Genomic DNA, 20612 nt, shown 5'->3' on the forward strand with positions numbered 1-20612 from the left:
CGTAAGGGTTTTTCAAAATCTCCATGCTGGAGCAAGTGGCTAATAGTTCACTAGGACCTTATATGATACCAAAGGAAAGAGGGAGAGAACTAAAGAAACACAAAACAAGAAACAAAACATCTCTCGCTTTTATTATTAATAATTTAACAGTTCTCCACAATGAAAAAAATCATAATCTGAAAATAACGTATTATTAGTAAAGAATAAAGAAAAATGTATTTACATAGATTTGAACTTAGGGCTTCACAGCTATTAAAATTCAACAGAAAATGTACCTTTGAGGGACTATATCCTGTAAAATAACACAGCACCAACACAAAAGCGGTGGCATGCCCTGACTCATTATTTTCTATAAAGATGAGTATGATTAACTGTGTTCATAAATTAAAAAATAAAATATTCAAAAAATTATTTTTTCCTATTCCATAGTTATTCATAATAAACAAAAGCAACCCTTTCATTAAAATGCCCCCTTTTGCAAGCTGTAAAGATAAGACAGCAAAATTATTCAATCTTTTGTTTCCGTTAAAAATATCCAGCAATCAGAGTTATTCTATTATTAAGACAAAGGAAAGGGTCAATGTGTTCAGAGTGGAAATTAAAAGGATTTCATCTCTTAGCTAAACCTCCTGTTTCTAGATGCATGCACATAATGATACTAAAAAATGACAATGGAACTTTAGAGAGCTATCGAGCTATGAAATGAAAGGCCTCATAAAGACAAGTGATTAACTTATTTAAACTTTTTCACTGATGCACTGAGAAATACATTTCCTTTTATTTCTGGTATTACAATCCAAATCATCATATAATGAAGTACTTCTGGATGTTAAACCTGTATCTAAAATATGGAACAGGCGAGAAAGTCATTTAGCATATATCACAGATAGCCAAAGGTAGCATTAAACATAAGGCTAAAAGAAAGCAATTGTAGATAAAATTTATCTGTTTCTTGATTGTTTGAAAAGGCATTTCAAGCCAAGTTATCATAAAGTTGAAAAAAAACAAACCAAAATTATTTCAATGACAACCTCGTTATAAGATAAGCACTGTTAAATGATAAATGATCATATGAAAGTATTTCAAATCAGTAAACAAAAGAAGGCTATTTGTCTTGACGTTTTACTATCTGCAAAAATAATGCATAATTATTGAAATACACTTCCCCCACTCAAAATACAAGGCTAAGTATTTATCAGAAATTATATCAAACACTTGCCAAATTTTGTTATGTAAATTCTGTTAATTTACTGGATATCAAGGAGAAATAGCTTACTAATGTTTTTCTATATGGAATAGTTCACAATTCTTCAAACCTCTTGCCACATGCCATGTAATAAAAGAACTAATACAATTATATTATATTCAATTTAAAAAATAATATAGAATATGTGTTACCTACGTTGAGACTCTTCAACAGAGTTGTCACTTGCTGTCTACAATGAGCCAAGATTTAAACTCTACACATTAATCACTAAATTTGATCTACGTAATAACTATGAACATTTTATATTATTATTGGTATTATTATTATTTAAAAGATGAGTCAGGAGGGACTCAGTTATATTCAACATCAAATAAGTACTCAGAAAATGAAAAAAATAAAATAAGGCAACATATGTCCTTAAACAAGTTGACAGACTGAAATTAAGGAAGAGATGGAGAGGAACTTTCCCTAATACTCTGAAAAAATGCCCCATTAATTGCTGAATGTCACATAAACATGATAAGTAAGAAAAAGAAACATTCTTGCCAGAGTAATATGCATGAGTAATAATCACCCAGCACATGGCAGGGACTCAATGAGTATGTTCAGAATGAATGAAAAATAAATGAATGAATGAGTGAGAGAGGGAAGGGATGATATTTAATTTTTCCTAGGTCTGCAACTAGAGTTTTTCTTTTGGCTAAAGCTACAATTCTCCACATCATTTCTTCTGCTTTGGAAAATAACTCTTTCTCGTCCCCAGGGTATTATTTCAATTACTACTTCATCAAAAGAGTTATTCTCACTCCTTACTACTCTCAGGGAGTAGTTTACACAATGGAGGAATTTGTCCTAAAATATTTCTGTTTTTTCCTCTCATAAAGTCAATAAAGTGGAAGCTCTGTCCAAACACAATCATTGACTTGAGCAATTTAAAGCTGAGGATATTACTATTTATACATTTCATAAACATGGGAATTTTAATACTGTTGCTTAAAATTTATTTTCATAATTGGAAAAAAACATGCCATTAAATTCAAAGAATGACCCAAATAATGAAGTCTTAAGGAGGCCCCCACAGGAGAAAGAAATGGGAAAATCATCACTGATTGACTTGGAAGGTAAGAGAGCTATTAATTTATTAATTTTCACACATACCAAAATTGATGGATTAAAGGTTTAAACATATTTCAAACGAAATAACAAAAAAGATGCTCTTAAATGTCTTATGTGCTTCATATTTAGTTTTCTCTTTCATTTACTAATTTAGTCCTCATATTTTACTTAAGAATTTTATAAAAAATAAACTGCACAGGTGATAATTTTGCATTATTTAACTCACTCCTTTATCCAAGCTATTTAATATACTTCCTTTTCACAGATTTATTGATAAATAATTCACCTATCATACATTCACTAATTTACAGTATGCAATTCAATGATGTTAGTATATTTACAGGGCTATATATTACCAAGTTCAATTTTATAATATGTTTGTTCCCCTTAAAAGAAACCACATACTTATTAAGTGTCACTTTCCACCCCAATCCCTAGACCTAGGCAATCATTACTTTAGGTGTGAGTAATTTTGCCTATTCTGGTCAATTTCTACAAATGGAATCATGTAGCTGTGGTCTTTTGTGGCTGGCTTCTTTCACTTAGCGCAATGTTTTCAAGGTTCACCCATGTTGTACCATGTATCAGCACTTTATTTCTTATTAATACCGAGTAATACACATTGGATAGATACGCCACATTTTATTTATCTATTCATCAGCTGATGGACATTTGGCTTGTTATTTTGTTTGGGCTATTATGAATAATGGTGCTATGAACACTTGTGTACCAGGTTTTAGGTAGACATATATTTATTCAATATGTTTCTGATTGACACCTAAAAAAGTCTAAAAATAAAGACAACTTGTATTTATATTTCAAGAACATTATTAGAATCTATAATATTTTGCTTCTGGGAAGGAGCCAATACATGGAATATATTCCTGAAGCCCCTAGTCTAACATCTGGCAACCATGCAAACAGCTGTATCCATGCACATGTAAAGCTAAAGAGATGGAAAGAATTCACACCCTGAGTCCACTGCCTTTGGCATATCAATCCTGATTCCAAATTTTGCATCTTAAAAACTGGAAATTAAAAATGTGTATTCAAATATCCATTTGACTGCTTCCCATTAAAAGTTACATTTTACAGCAACAAAATTGTGTTGCATATAGTATATACATATCAAAATAAAACATATTTGCCAACTTTATCATTTCTTTTCCTAATCCTGATTCTGTATGACATATTGCTATTTTGATAAGCACTGAATTTTAGGTTTCTTTTTAATGATTCTAAATTAAATCAGTTCAACAATAAACAAATAAAAGAAACTTCCTTTGATCTAAGTCTTTCCTACTTTTCAAGAATTTTCTCCCAGTACTCTACCTCAAAATGGTTGCAGTTTTCCAGGCTACACAAAACCATTTCTTATGAGCAAGGCTGTGATCATGATTTCTCACGTGGCCAGCTGGTACCTTCTCCCTTTGGTCCTCCTCTAGATGGCATTCCTAGGAACATCTATAACCTGTCTCTTCTCCCATTCCCCTACTTGTCCATGCCATCCCACTGAGGTTTGTTTTGCCACCACTACCTCTGCTGCCATAAGGGCATGTAGTTGTGTATACATAAAGATACAAGTAAAATAAAATATGATTAATTATATATAATGATGCCTATTATATATGTATATGCATACCTACACATATAAAAGGGCATTTAATATATTTTATTTCACTTACATCTTTATATATGTATATTCCGAAGTAGATCCTTGAGGACTCAGAAATTGCCACTTTCTTAACCATTTTCTCTTCAGCAACCAGAAGAGTGCCTGACCAAGAAAGTACTCACAAACTGTTGACTGCTCAACTGGGGTTAATTGCGTGAATCTTCATTTACTATTAGCTGGAATAGGGAAGCATCAGTAATCCTGAACCAAAGTCTTCCGAAAGCTTTACAATTACGTATGTACAGGATTTTCCTAAGACATTCAAATTCCACTAGGATGAGGATTAAGAACATCCAGGAGAGTGGGAGTATTATTATTATCTTGATAGTGGATTCTAACATTCTAGACTCACTTTGATAATCTAAATGTGAAATGATTTTTGATGGAAAATAAAGAAATAGAGTAGAAGAGAAAAAGCTGGACTTTGCTGCCTTAGAGTCCAAACTCCAGCATGCAAATCCATTTTTATGCCTCTAAACACAGCTTACTAGTTCCACCTTACCAATATCTAAGAAGGCAATATTACAATCATTGTTTCCAGGGATGCAGGCGGGGCTGAATCGCCAACCTACTGACTTACAACTCCGTGAACTAGATCACCTCCTGTTATATAACGTATTGGCTGCAGAAACTTAAAACTAATTATTACAACATGGCCTTCATTAATTTGAAGAATATAGCCTTCAATGCCAAGATGGCAAAAAACAAAATAAACGTGCAACCTAATTGGTAAGGCATCTTTGGGTTGCACAGTAAGTTCCAAACTTGAGAAAACATTCATTCAACCAGCAAATGATTCCATAATAGCAGAAGCGCCAGCAGACCCAGAGAATGAGCTGAGAACAAGGGAGTGAGGACTACATCAAAAGATTGTCAACGTACTACAGAAGAATAAGGTCATTGATAGAACGCTCCTTATTAAGTTTATAAAAACATTGGATTCACCTTCAATGTGACAGTGCCCTTTAAACATTTACAATTTAATTTATGTCACTAATAATAAAACTTCAGACTGTGCATGCCAGTTGAAGAAGTGAGAAAAGAATAGGAGAAAAAGTCATAAATATATAGCTGATTAGGATTTCCTATATTCACAATTTTAAGGCAAAGATTAAATAGCAAATCCTTCATTAAGGCAAGCGCCTGGGCTCCTTTTTTGAAAACCAGCGACTGAATTTCAGAGCAACTGCATTGTGTAGTGGACAATAACAAAGAATAGTGCTATTAATCACATAAAATCATTTCCTATTTACCTGAGGTTATCTGTAAATTTATAATTCTTCTGATAGCTTTTGATTAACTAAGTAAAGAAGAGGTCCTGCACCAGAGCTATGTAAATTCAGGTGCTGTGTCAATATCTGCAACACAAATTGATTGCCTTTAATGCTACTAAACAGAAGCCACCTTTCCGCTCCTCTGTGAACAAGATTTATATATAAATTAGCTTGAAATATACTGAAAATGAAATCACATAGGGACATTTATTTTTTGCACTGTTTTCTGTGCTAAACTCTTCTGAGGAAGACTTGAACTCTGAGGATCAGGAAACCACAATCTTTCAAAAGTGTTAAGCTGCGTTACAGGGTAACGGAAAGGCTCGGGACAGAGTGATAAGATCTGTGTCTGCTTCTCTCTCCACAGCTTACTGTTCCTGACCTTAAGTGAGTTCTTTAACCTCTGTGAAACCTACATTTCTTCATTGGTGAATTAAGCCAGTTACACCCGTGCCATCGACATCCAAATATAAAGTAGGGTAATAAAAAATAATGTTCTTAAACATCTTTTTCAACTTTTATATTTTCTAAACTATAAACCACGGTTTGTAGCACAAAAGCATGTATTCAACCATGAAACATTAGCGTAAGCATAATGTGCCATCTCTAAAGCAAATCATTTTAATAAGACAGACTATTTAAAATGTTCTTTGTTTTTCACAGACTTTAGGGTAGGCTCAAGGCAAAGTTAAGAAAAACCCTGAGTTTGTCTTCATTACATGGTGCCTCTGTGGTTTGATCTTTCCTTTTAGCCTGCTGGTTCCCATCTTTGAGTAACCCACTCTTCCTCACTTCCATCCTGGCTTCTCTGGTCTCTAAGGCCCCCAGTCTTTCAGGTTCATTTCTGGTGTTCCTTATCCAGACATCACTACGGCTGTTGCCTTATGCTTATACTGTTGCCATGCTTGTACTCACTAAACCCCCTTTCTACTTTCTTCCTCCTCACTCCCCTCCCACAAAAATTCACTTAAATCCTGTTATCTGAAGACCAGTAGTTTTCTTTTCAATACTGAGTAAAGTTGTCTAATCTGACATTCAGTTCACATTTATGTACTAACGTAAGAAAGTTAAAAGCATTAACCTCTTCAAAAACTTAAATATTTTAGTTTAAATTGTACCTTTTAAATAAAATTTCTTTAGACTGGGGAAGTTTTAATAGTTTGTGGTTCTATTTTATATACATGCTTTGACCAAGTATAATCTCCATCTACAAATCACATAAGATAAATATGTATTGAAGTCATCATCGGGCTTGGTTTTGTGTGTGTGTTTAAATGTAAGACAAAACATATGGTAGTTTCTAGATGCAAATAAATAAAATCCTGATCTTAGGAAATTATTTTTGAAAAATAGAATAGAATGACTTTGGACTTAATTTTCAAACACAATTAATTTGACTTTAGAATAAGTTTGTCTAATTTGGATAAATTTCATCTAAAACAAGAAAGTCACTGCAACTAAGTACGTACTGGGAATAAAAATTCAACTGTATAAATTTATACAAAATTAAATTTGCTTTATATACTTATTTCCTCCTCAAACCTAGGCTTTGACTTCTTTAAATTCTAAACAAGTAATTTTAGGCTGCTCATCCATTATCTCCAAGCATTCTCTTCCTGCAAAGGATCCACCATGGTAATAGTTCTTTCATCAAAGCCTAATGGTTTGTTTCAAATAATCAAAGTAGTGTTTATATCACTGTCCTCAGGTGCAACCATTTTGCTTCCCGGAGAGCAGTATGGTACATGCTAATGTCAGAAGTGATAAATCAAAGTAAGTACATTTGTTTGTCTACCTTAACCAGTCTATTCAGCACCACTAACAAAAATACATGTTGGCATTTGCACTTATGTACTTTCTATTTGAGACCATCTAGTAATAAAGATTACCAAGAAAAAAATGCATATGTAAAACAGATGGTTGTGCACAAGTCTTAGCCTTAGGAGAAATTCCAGTGTTAGATGGTGGTTGCTGTGAATTAATTTGTATGCTTTACCTAGGGAGAGTGTAAAAATAGAGGAGTAGTTCCACTATAAATGATCAATGATATGTTTTCTACTTATAGGAAATCAGAATAGCTTACTTTCTTAAAATCACCAAATATTTTAAGTAGATATATTCATTTATCTTTTACTAACATAAGTAGTAAAAAAGTTAAGAATACGAAACACACCTACAACACTAACAGATTCAGAAAATATCTGAGAGGTTGCAATCAAATTTATCTTATTTATATAGGCAAAATTCTTATGATAGCCAATAGGAAACAGAATCAAGTTAGCGTAAATTAGAATAAGAAATTGAGTACTATTGTTCTGGTCATTTGCAGCTTGAAGTTGCAGTGACACCCAGAGCTTTTGTTCTTTCAGCCAACGGAAGTTGTAGAAGTCACAAATGTTTTCTATATTCAAAAAATAATAGAACTTGTCTGGATATTGATCATTTCCAGTTTCCAGTTCCTGTCGTAGTGCTTTTAGCAGCACTAGAGAAAGTCTAAGGCAAAGAGAAACAGTGAAATCTGTCTACTCACCTACTTAAGCATATATAAATGAGGAAGAGACAAAGAGAAATTGACAAGTGGAAAATAAACTGAGATGAATTAAAGACCCACTATGTTTAACCGACCAGTCTAATATCCTTCGAGAGCCAGAATTCCCTTTCACGTTCATCTCTGCTCAAGAAAGTAAATGAGAGCAAAACTACCAGGTTTGTGACTCCTGAAGGGAAAAGAAGACAAGACAAAAAGAGCTCTCAAAATCTATCTTATGCCTAATAAAAAAGGAAGAGCTGCCAATCCCATCTTATTTACTTTTGGATTTTAGAACCATAACATAAAGTATATTCTTAGCAATAACACCTCACCCTGTTTCTCTCTACTCTAAGTGATGGCTTCTTCACAATCAAATTCAGTCAATAGCCCAAGACTGATAGGACTTATCTTGAGATGTCAGCATGGTTCCAGAGGAACAAACTGACAAAGCAAAGGCAATATGTTAGGGAATAAAATCTAGTTAAATGGTAGGATGCCTGATTATGGTCCCAGAAATGTATATAGATCAAATAGTGTTGAAGAAGCTTAAGTACAAACGATAAAATGACTGAATAAAGTTAAAGCCTTTTCGCCACCACATGAAGTGCTTCTAGGGCAAATGAAGAGGCATGTGCTATTTTAAAATGTCATCACATTTAGAGTTTTCCTTCAAAATTGTGGCTACTATTTCCTCAGTAACTCTTAATCTAACTGGAGTAATTTTTTTATTCCTAAATATTTCGAATATGGAATTGTTAGTTTTTCTCATGTTAAAATGCCCCATTTAAAATATTTAGTAACCACATGGTTTAAGTTAAATAGTATTATATAAAAATAAACATAGAAACTAATAAATACAAGTTAAAAAAAAATAGTAAGGTCCGAGAAACTGAAAATCTGCTAGTGATGTTTTGATCTCATACACATTTTTATATAAATGCATGTTGTCTTTCATTAAATCATTCCCCTCTAAAATGAGTCCTAACATAACTTGTGATATATAGGGTGGGCTTTTTTCTGTACTACTATATACCCACCAGAGAGTTAATCTTCTGATTCTATGAAAGACCCCCTTCAAATGAACAGCTTAATAATCTATCACAAAATCATGATTAATTTTCTACCACCATGCTACATACTGGGATTGCTCCCAAATGTTCAGTTTAATTTAAGTACTTTCTGATTCATGAACCGAGGGATAACATACAGCTATAAAAAGGTAATCCAATCCTAACATGGCCTTAACCCCTATAATCTGCACTTCAATAGCAGGGAAACTGTATAGTTTTGAAACTGTAATCAAGAATTTTTTTTGCAAACACACACTGGAGCTGTCCTTTGCTCCCATCTCTTATTAGATTACAATAAAACGACCATGCTCTCTTTATGGTGGGAACAGAGCGACCCTGGGGTGATTTATAATCTTGTGAAACCCTGTCCACACTGCTGACCAGACTTTTTTTTGAGGTCACTATCTGTTTCTTCAACTGATGTCTTCCTGCTGTGACAACACTGTTGGAGAGCTGTCAGCACACAAGAATTTCTCAGGCTAGGTATTGTCTTTGAACGCATTTCTTGTGTTATTTCTATTGAGAAGCATTTGCGTGCTTGGTGTTTAGACAGTAAAGGATCTTTCTAAGATTTTCTCGTTAGTCTAAATCCTGACAAAGAGAAGACAACTAAATGGGAATAAATGAAGTGGATCTCTTATTGACAAAGGAAGAGAATATTTATTTCTTCAAAATGTATAACATTGCCATGGAATACAAACAATAAAGCAACAATTCATGGTAAAAATGAGAGTATTGTTCTCCCCAATAGCAAAATAATTTGACTCCAACATGTTAGATATTGTCAAAAGTAAGTATTAGCTAAAATGCATGGGGCCTGCATAAACATAAAAAAATAAGTGTTTCGATTTTTGTTTTTAATGTAAAAAGCAGAAAAAGTTAAACTAAGAAAATGTTTTAATAGTAAATTTTCATAAAATAAGTTGCAATCTCCATTCTTGTCAAAAAATGGCTGTAGATGACTAAAACTGATGTTGAATATTCCCAAATAGAAAATTATACTTAAAAATCAAGTAGATCATAGCTAGAGTTAGAACTACCTAAATTTTTTTTGTTATTATAGAAGAGGAACTTGTTCAAATGATAGACCTTGATCAATTTAGCTTCTCAAAATAAGACATCTTCTACTACTGGAAATGTAAAAATGTAAGAGAAGGCATGATATCCAGCCACCTAGGTTCAATTAAAGCAGTTTGTTTCATTTTGTTTATTCTCATTTCAATTGTATTTAAGTTAAATGACCAAGCCAACATTAAATTGCTTTGTTTTTATATATAGATAACTCCTACTATTCTAAAAAGAGGAGTAATTAATTTATCTCTATTTTTCCTCTTTTTTGAGAGAAGACAATTAAGTAAAACAATCTGAATTCCACTCCCTACTTTTTTATTTTTATTTTTATTTTTAATGAAATCCATATAGCTTCAGAAAGACGCTAACAGGGAAGTTGCGCTCCCTTCAGAATCTTCTGAGATCTATGTGAATAGAACGTTTTGAAAGCTACAAGAAGAGAAAACATTTTGTAAGAGAGAGCCAACATTGATGTAAAAGAATCCTAGTGCATCAGATTCATCTGTAGCACCTGGGCTAGGAGTATTAGGGATGCTCAGTGAGAAATACCTGCCCCAGGACCCACTGAGGGATGGGTTCTATGGTCCAGTGGATGTAGGTCACTTTCACCCAGATACAGAGCTAGGTTATTTAAAGAGGCTCATGAAAGTCTCATAGTTTCATCCTTTTTATTTTGTTTATCTTTGTTTATAAAGAGAATAAACAAATTTAAACTAAATTTTGTTTGAAAGCATCCGTTAACCTAATTTGTACACATTACTACTTGAAGTATAAGTGGAGAGAATGATGGAAAACAACGATGTTGATAGACTAAAACAGAGATTTATAAACATATTGTGTAGCATCATAATTTTTTTTACAGTATCCTAATTTCAGGTGGGAGTGATAATGTTGGAACTTAACTATTCCTGAACTTGTATGAATATCACAATTCAGAGCCCACACCAACTATGGGATTTGGTGACACAGCCTGGGTACTTTATAAGCTTTTTTGATTTATAAGAGTATTCATTCATCTAAACTTTTATAACTAAGAGCAGTGAGAGACGCCACTTAAAGACCTTCGACAGTGTCATGCAGTTTTGCCTAGGATGGCTTTGTGAAGCTAAAATAAAAAAGTGTCTTAAAATGTTTTAATAGTAATTGATACAATAAATTGTAATCCCTAGTTTTGTCAAAACTACAATTTATTAACTAGCATAAATAAGTAAAACGTAGATTAATTCTCTGAAATAGCACAAGATATTTAAAATTCAAGTACACCCTATCTAGGGTTGGAACTAACTGATCCTCATCTTTTTATTCATCAGTATAAGTAATTTTGAAATGATGATGAAAAAAATGTTTAACTTTACAAAAGTATGGACACACTGGTAGTCATAACAAATACGTCAAATGTTCCTTTGTTTCCAGGAGGTAACCTACCATTTACCTTCTCCAAGGACTCTTAATAAAATGGACAGAAAAAATCAATTAAAGTAGCGAAATATCCCTTAGGATAAAGTTACTTCAGCAGTCAGTGCACTTCTCAGTAATCTCTTTATCTTGTGCTGAAGTAATACACATTTGTGCCATGTTTTTAAGTACTATATTTTTCATAATGAAGCTATTTAAAACTGAGCAGTGGAAAGAGAATGGGTGCTGATACAGCAAACGTTATGATATAAAAACAGGGTTATGAGGGAAGCACACACCAGAAATGGAAAACGTGATTAGAAGCAAAATGGATGATGCAAAGGTTCTCATATAACACGCCCGTGAAGTAAGACCCCAAATATCTACCTAATCTCCACTATCTAGAGCTATTGTGCCCAAGAGCACCTCTGAAATACTATTATGGGACATTATTTCTGGAATCACTATCTATATAAAAGAAAGTAGTCCCATGAATGAAGTCAGAACTTGAAGAATTCAGCATAGAATTCCACACGCTTTTTAACGGCTCTGTTGCCTCGCCGCACCCCGCTGTAGCCTATGTTTGACCAATTCTCTCATTTTATAAAGGGTGGACCCACCTTAACATTTAAGTGGCATCTGATGCACTACTTAAATTGGTTTCGTTTTCCCATTTCAAAAATTGGGACTTTAATACGATATTGGGAATAATACCCATTTGAGATCAAAGAAATCATGTGCACATTTTTGCATTGGGAATCAGAGAAGATGCATAATTTTTGGAAGCTGAATAGATACCCACATATTTGTCGGCATTCTGAAAATCCCAGGCATTGCATTTTTACCTCTGCTTTTTCTACTTCTCCCTTTTCCCACATTTGTCTTTCTCTCAGTGTTTGTCCATGTGCAGGGAGAGAAATTTAGTGTTGAGGCTCAGCCCAGGAATTTGCCAAACAGATAAGAAGACAGAAAAGCAAGCTTGCCAAAATTTTTCCCATTTCTCCTCAACTCCCCACCAAAATTCATTGTTCTTCCTACATATTTGCTGGTGAAAACTTTGGAAATGTTGGCTCAGAGAGTCACAATAAGACCAAAATAGACCAAAGGGAGCTGTTTGAAATGGTAACCACCAGTCTGTTAGAAAAGAAACCGGCCTGTTCACTTAATGAATAAAATACCTAGAGCTTGCCAAGGCAAATAAAGGCTTGTTTACTGAGATGTATACAAATACAAGAAACAGAGCAAAAGGACTGGAAGAAGTAAACTAAAGAAAAAATATTGTATGGAGAAGTCTGAATTAAAATGAGCTTTCAATCAATTTTGCAATCACTGTCATTCATGAGAAACTCTGTAATGCTTATTAAAATGAAAATAAAACAACAAGGGTAAGAATCCTGTTCTCTTGGCCTGCCTCCAAGTAAGGTAATTTTGTCTTGTCTCCTAAAATTATCCCAGAGGTAAAAATTATCTCAGACTTTTTAAAAACTGCTCATCTCTAAGCTACTGGTGATTGATCCTTTATGTATTGGTGAAAAAAAGAGGCCCTATTGGTCCATGACTGTATATATCCCCATTTGCCCATGATAGTCCTAGTTTATACCTATTGTCCCAACAGAATTAGTAATATTGTTTCTGTTTATTCTCAAGAGTGTCCTAGTTCGGCTAATTAATTTTATGGTTACCTTATCTATGCCACTCTGAAGGAATGAAAGAAGTGATGAAAGTCAATCTTCTAGCAAACAACAACAAAAAAATCACTTTAAAGAAGTTTACATTAAAGTTTATACAGATTCATTTTCTAACATTCTCCTACAAATCTTCTACTATCTCATAAAATCGCAGAGATCTGGAAATTTTCTATTGTATTTAAGATATTTATACCTCTTAATACAAAACCAAGTGAATGGTAATCACTGCAGGCTATTTACCAACTTGAAAAAATAAAATAGTTCACTAATACTCCAATTAAAAGCAGAACGGTTGAACACAGTTTATCATAGGTACTCAGATTCAGGAACTGGTAATAGTCTTACCTTATCTTGCTCAATAATTGCCTAATAATAAATCTAGCCAAAGAATTCTGAATCACACATTTTATTCCTTTCACCATCTTGAGAAAAAAGGTACCATTATAGAGTATTCTAGATATTTCTCATTAGAGAGAAAGTCCCATTTGGTAGGCTATGAAGAATTCTACATTTTCCAAAAAAAAAGACTAAAATATTAAATAAAAATTAATAGTCAATGTTTATTGAGTGGTTATTATGTCTCTCACTGTGCTAAGTGCTTAATATGCATAATTTCATTTAATGTCACCCAAGATTATTCCACTTTTAGACGAGTAAGCTAAGACTCACAGACTTTAAAAAACGTGCCTACAATCCCCAAGCCAGCAAGTGGCAGAGAAAAGATCTTAAAACCTAGTTTTTATCTGCAGCATAGTTTGTTCTTGTCCCTTAGAATTGCAGGAAAAAAAATGTAATATTTTCCTACTTGTAGATAATGCAAAGCTTTATAGCATTAACTCTGATCCATACTTCCTATTTCCCTCCTCTACTAAGCTAGAAACCAAAGCGAGAGAAAATGCAAAGAAAAATAAGCTCTGTTAAAATGCCTTTGAGCTCTTCATATCGCCTTCAAATATTGACTCAAATGTCATTTTCTCAGTGAGGTAGGCCTCATTCTGACCACTTTATTTAAAATTTCACCTATCCCACTCTTCATACCCCAAGCTCTCTCACTCTGTCCTATTTTTAACGTAATTTGCTTATTGATTATGTTAATTCTTTATTGCCTCCCTCTCCACCCCTAACCATGAGTGCTAGAATTGAAGCCCTATGAGGGTAGGGATTTTTATCCAAAACACCTAGAAGAAATGCCTGTCATATATTAGGTGCATAACAAATATGCATTGAGTAGATAAAATGTAGTTTTCATCACTTTATACACACACACACACATACACACACACAATTCTGAGGCCTCTTAATTCTAGTAGTAACAGGAGAGAGTAACAATGTGAAAACGAAAGATTAAGGGGGAAATGAAAATGCATTATTCTCATTTTTTAAGGTAATATTTACCTTAAATAATAAGGCAAATTTAAGGTAATATTAAGTAAATATACTTCCTCATTTGGAATTTATTTTAAGCTAGATCTATGCATGGAGTAGTTTTACACGTATGATAATATATAAAAGCATTTATTTCCTTGAAAGCTTTTGGGTAGACCTACTATGAAATGACTGTTGGATTCACCAACTTCAATGGTAGATAAAAGTATCTTATATTTATACATATTCTGTAATAGTATTATTTATTCAATTGTAAAGTAGCATTTCTAAAATATGGGTTTTTTTTAACACTCTGCTGAAGTAGTGAGAGTGTAACAGACACCTGAGCTGGAAACTTGGGTAACTGTTACTCCTATTTATCACCGCTTCTCCACTGTAGGTAGAAGGTATAGATAGTCAACATTGGTAAACCCTGAAAATTAACACGGCTTATATTCCTTTTCAACCAGGTCAGAAATGACCTTATTAAAGCGAAGGAATGATGGCAGGCAAAACAGATAGGTGAGTATGAAAGGTCTAAGAATCCCATTACTGGGTATATACCCAAATGACTATAAATCATGCTGCTATAAAGACACACATGCACACGTATGTTTATTGCGGCATTATTCACAATAGCAACCCAAATGTCCAACAATGATAGACTGGATTAAGAAAATGTGGCACATATACACCATGGAATACTATGCAGCCATAAAAAATGATGAGTTCATGTCCTTTGTAGGGACATGGATGAAATTGGAAACCATCATTCTCAGTAAACTATCGCAAGAACAAAAAACCAAACACCGCATATTCTCACTCATAGGTGGGAATTGAACAATGAGATCACATGGACACAGGAAGGGGAATATCACACTCTGGGGACTGTGGTGGGGAGGGGGGAGGGGGGAGGGAAAAAAAAAAAAAAAGAAGTGCCAACCTACAAATGGCTTGGATAGCTTAAACTTCAAAACCATGTTGATACTGCATTTAATTATTAGTGAAGAGGTGTAAGAGAAATATAAACTCAAAAACTAAGAACAAAACTGGTAGACTCGATTCCTATTGCCCCCAGTGGGACAATTTTTGCTAATAGATGTTTTAAAGTTAATAGATGATTTAAAGTTTGCAGATGTGGAGTTCATTGTTTAATATATAGATGCTGCACAATAGTAACGAATTTCATAAATGGAGAAGTTTTAGCAAAAAGGAGTTCAGTGAGAACAACACATTATTCTCCAGTAGATGTAACTGTCATAGCTTTGTACATTGGTTTTGATTATAAGTGTGTTCTCTTATTTAACAAAAATATTTTGGCACATACAAACTCACCAATTTGGTGAAGAAAAGAATTTTTATTACATACAGACTCTAAGAGTTAAAAATACTACATAGAATTGTTAAGATAAAGATATAGTGAAACCAAATTCTGGTATCAATCCCTTGAAACAATCGTATCACCCAAAACAATGTGCATGATTGTTTATAAGCCATCTGGTGTGAGAGAGTTGAGTTAAAAAGCAATTTTGAAGCAATTTTAGTTTGTTAGTTGAGAATGACTTGCACCGGATCATGACCTCTCACTTTCTCAATGGTATCATGATTTTCATTTGTTGTTCCTAATTGTCTGTGTTTATTTTAAAGGCACTATCCTTTGCACTTGTCCTCCCATTAGCATTGGATTGAATCAGCCAGCACACTCTGCAAACTCAATCTGCGGCTGCATTCCGTGGAGCCTACCTTTGTGGTTTGCAGCAGCTTTTCTATTAAAAGGTCAGCTTACAGTTTAAGGTGAATTCTGTTAACAGAGCTTTCATTTTTATTCAGTGGTATTTTTCAAATTCCGGTACAGAATGTTCCCATCTTTTGACACTAGTTATTATCACAAGCTCAGAATCAAACACAATAAAGGTATTTCTTCGAGTCACAATCATGACTCAGCAGCACAGAAAGACTTGCTCTCTGCAGGTCTCTATGTTTGACTTCCATTTAACTATGAATAATTCATAATGGAAAAATAATATTTGACCTCTGAGAATTATTAAGAATGCTTTTTTTCTTTTAAAAGTTAATATGTGGTTTTCAAAGTTACTTGAATCCAGAAGACAGAGAGAAAAAATCAGTGCTTTTAATATCATAAAGAAATTATTAAAATGTCAGTTCATACAGTAACTTTGAAATCCATCTAAAAACCTCATTCATTATTTTACGGTTAAAACTCACGGTGGCTCACACCTGTAATCCCAGCACTTTGGGAGGCCAAGGCGGGTGGATAATGAGGTCAGGAGATCAAGATCATCCTGGCTAATACGGTGAAACCCCGTATCTACTAAAAATACAAAAAATTAGCCAGGTGTGGTGGCGGGCGCCTGTAGTCCCAGCTACTCGGGAGGTTGAGGCAGGAGAATGGTGTGAACTCAGGAGGTGGAGCTTGTAGTGAGCAGAGATCATGCCACTGCACTCCAGCCTGGGCAACAGAGTGAGACTCCGTCTCAAAATAAATAAATAAAAATAAAAATAAAATTAAAAAAGGAGTTCACACCAAAATCTAGGGCTTCTGCCCTAACTTTTCCCTTGAGTTCCAAATATATGTTTCTAACATCCCCTGGATAATTCACAAGCATCTAACTCAAAGTCTTCAAAATGGATTATTTATGTTCACTAAACCTTCTCCTCCTCATGATCTTAGACTTACAATACTGTTCAGCAAAAACTAGAGAGTTAATGTCAACTTACTTCTCTTTCCCCACACAGCTCTTTCAAGTCTTTCCATTTTAGTTTACTTTTTCTTTTATGTTTTCCTCCCTATATCCCCACTAAAGCCGTATTTATTTATTTATTTTTATTTTTTTGAGACAAAGTCTCACTCTGTCACCCAGACTGGAGTGCAGTAGCACGATCTTGGCTCACTGCAACCTCCACCTCCTCGGTTCAAGCAATTCTCATGCTTTGGCCTCCCAAGTAGCTGGAATTACAGGTGCGCACCACCACACCCAGCTAAGTTTTTCTATTTTTAGTAGAGATGGGGTTTCACTGTGTTGGCTAGGCTGGTCTCAAACTCCTGGCCTCAAGTGATCTGTCCACCTCAGCCTCCCAAAGTGCTGGGATTACAGGCATGAGCCACCACGCTGGGTCTACAGCCTTAATTATTTAAAACTGATTATTAAAATCTCTGGTTTAAAACGCCTTCAATTTGTGTTATCTATCCAAAACACAAATTCAATCATATCATTCCCCTAATTAAAAATCTTCCAATGGAAAAAAAATTTCCCAGTGATTTATTGTTATCTACAATATAAAGTTCAAATTCCTTAATTATATCACAGAGGGCCCTTCTTGAGCTGGCCGGTTCCTATATTTCAAGAGCAATCTCACAACCCCGATTAATAGATATATCCTAATCTCCAGCCAGGCCAATTTACAATCCATGAAAAATAACATTTTTTTTCACATTCTCATTCTAGGCCTTTGCATATTTATGTCTGCTTATTTTGCTTTCATTTCAGAAGCTTTAAATTCATTAATGTAGATGTATCCTTTGCCATTGCTACAAAGTTAAGATAAAGAATAACGAAAATTGCAAAATGAATAAGAGAAGTGATAAAATAAAAATAGAGCAAGGCAGTAAAGTATGTAAAAAGAACTTCTAATGACCACATCAATATCTGAGCAGATAAATTTGATTTCAATTTTTTTATATTCATGTCTTTAAGCTTAGATTTCCAAGATGGATGTGATGTATGGGCTTGGATGAAGAGTTTATCACTTTTCTTTCCGTCTTACAAACATTAAAGAACATGTACAAAGTTGAGATGGGAAACACAAAAAGTTCTTAGCCTCTATCTAGATTATGATGATACAGTTGTTTTACCAGCCCAAGGAGTATTTTACTGTATGTTTTAGAAGAAGCCTAAATAGGGTAACCTTCATGAAGAGGATATTCATTTTCCTGGCAGCTGTATATTTTCTGAAACCTAAAATATGTGGATGCCATGAAATCATAAGATTTCAACTCTAAAAAGTTTATAAATATTAAACCACTTTATTTGCTATCTTCTAAACCTGCCTTTCATCTGATGCAATATTTTCTTCCCAGGGTTTCTAACAGCATTAATATAAAATTTAATACGTATATGTGCTGTGAGGCAACTCAAAAGAGAACTTTAAAAAATAATTATGTCTTTTCTCTTTTTTTTTGCTTTTATTGTTATTTTTAATTGACATAATAATTGCACACAGGGAAGGGAGAGCGGGGAGGGAGGAGGTGGCAAGAGGTTGATTAATGGATACTACCTATTTTCTAATAAGGAATAAATTCCTTATTTAATTTTACCTCTAACAAAATCCCAAAGTTTAAGTTCTTTGTCAGAGCCTGGATATGACTATTTTTCTTGGTTCACTGAAAGAATGCTTGCATAGAAACACTTCTCACCATAAATAAACTGTGAAATGTAGGTGAAAATTAAATTTAGTTACAGCTGCCAGCCTTGAGTCTTTTCTTGATGGTGGTTGTCCCACTCAAACAAGCACAGCTGTTTGTGACACTAGAGATAAACAAATATTACTACCAAGGAGGACCAAACTGCCTAGAAATGGGGAAAAACAATCTGCACTTTCTAAGGTCACTGAAGAGCTGCTGCCAGTAAGTTGGTCATTATGACTTTTCTACTATAAGTCCTAATTCTTGACTCTTATTTCCTAGGTATGACCTGGAAAACTGGAAAAATGAAAATGACAAAAGGCATTTATTGAATTCCTACTAACTTCTACATAGTTTACAAATGCCATCTCATAATTCATAATTCATAATTTTCATAGTTCAACCTCCTTTCCCCAAATTTTCATCTTGCTGGTTAGGCATTAGGCTCCCTCACTGACAAATGAGAAAACTGAAGCTCAAATGGGTTATACAACTCATTTTAGGCTGCAAGTATAGTGTACTAAAGAGTGTAGAATTTGGAATCAGAAAGCCTCAGATAACTCATTTAGTACCTGTTTCCTTGGGCAATTTATTTAACTTCTCTGTAATTCAATATCTTCCTCTATAAAATGGAGATAAGACTGCTATGAGGATTAAGTGAGATAAGAAATGCATTCCAATTAGTGCTTGGCATAAGGTAAGTGAACAAAAAATAATACTGATAGCAGAATTGGAGAAAACGCTTTATAGTGCAAATTTTATGGTCGGGCGTGGTGGCTCACACCTGTAATCCCAGCACTGGGAAGCCAAAGTGGGTGGATTGCTTGAGCCCAGAAGTTCAAGACCAGCCTGGGCAAAATGGCAAAAACCCCATTTCTATTAAAAAAAAAAAAAAATTAGCAAGGCATGGTGGTGTACATCTGCAGTCCCAGCTACTCAGAAGGCTGAGGTGGGAGGATCACCTGAGCCCCAGAAGTTGAGACTGCAATGAACTGTGATCAGACCACTGCACTTCAGTCTGGGTGACAGAGTATGACCCAGTCTGATTAAAAAGGTTAAAAAGATATTTATAAAGGACTCTGATAGCAGAGTAATGTGACAAGTAGAGAAAAGAATGGCATGAATTCCAAGGAGAGTTGGAAATAAGATGGTAAAGGATTATGGGGAATTGCTGGTGGAGGTTAGAAGAAAAAAAAAAAGAAGATATTTAAATACTCACCTATTACTCAAAGTTAAATTTTAAAATACTAAAATATTTCCCCTTACAATTTACTCAGTAAGGTTAACAATAGGCTGAAAATGATTTCACAATCCAAGGATATCTATTCTTCTGACTTGTCAATTGGGTGTCTTGTTAGAGCACTGGCTAACAAGGTGAATGCTCAGATGAGGCATGATTTGTTTAAAGAGAATCTTCATTTTCAATAACATTTTATAATTTATGGAACAGACACACTTCTATCATTTAAATATTGAAACTACTGCACTATGAAAAATGTGTATGGCTTCTTTTTTGCTATCCTGCATTATCTGAATGTTATTTTTATTTTTTTAATTTTTAATTTTTATGGGTATGTAGTAGGTGTATACGTTACATGTTTTGATACAAGCATGCAATGTGTAAAAAGCACATTATGGAGAATGGGGTATCCATCCACTCAAGCATTTATCCTTTGAGTCACAAACTATCCTATTACACTTTTTAAGTTATTTTTAAATGTACTGAATGTTATTTATGTATTTATTCATTTGAGACAGGGTCTTACCCTGTCACCCAGGTTGGAGTGCAGTGTCACAA

At 34.1% G+C, this 20612-nt stretch overlaps 1 protein-coding gene across 6 annotated transcripts in view, besides 1 other annotated feature; it reads right to left on the reverse strand.

Annotated features, from left to right (window-relative positions):
- DACH1 (dachshund family transcription factor 1) overlaps window positions 1–20612 on the reverse strand; it is a 429239-nt gene that overhangs the window by 384753 nt on the left and 23874 nt on the right. The gene's annotated exons all lie outside the window — the stretch shown is intronic.
- Window positions 8998–9603: an enhancer, noted in NCBI's record as "NANOG hESC enhancer chr13:72405848-72406453 (GRCh37/hg19 assembly coordinates)". NCBI's record gives its function as "activates a minimal SCP1, AML or CMV promoter by ChIP-STARR-seq in naive H9 embryonic stem cells {active_cell/tissue: H9 hESC(naive)}" and the evidence as "EXISTENCE:reporter gene assay evidence [ECO:0000049][PMID:30033119]".

The sequence above is a fragment of the Homo sapiens genome, chromosome 13 (genome assembly GCF_000001405.40).
Source record: "Homo sapiens chromosome 13, GRCh38.p14 Primary Assembly".
NCBI classification, from domain to species: Eukaryota; Metazoa; Chordata; class Mammalia; order Primates; family Hominidae; genus Homo; species Homo sapiens.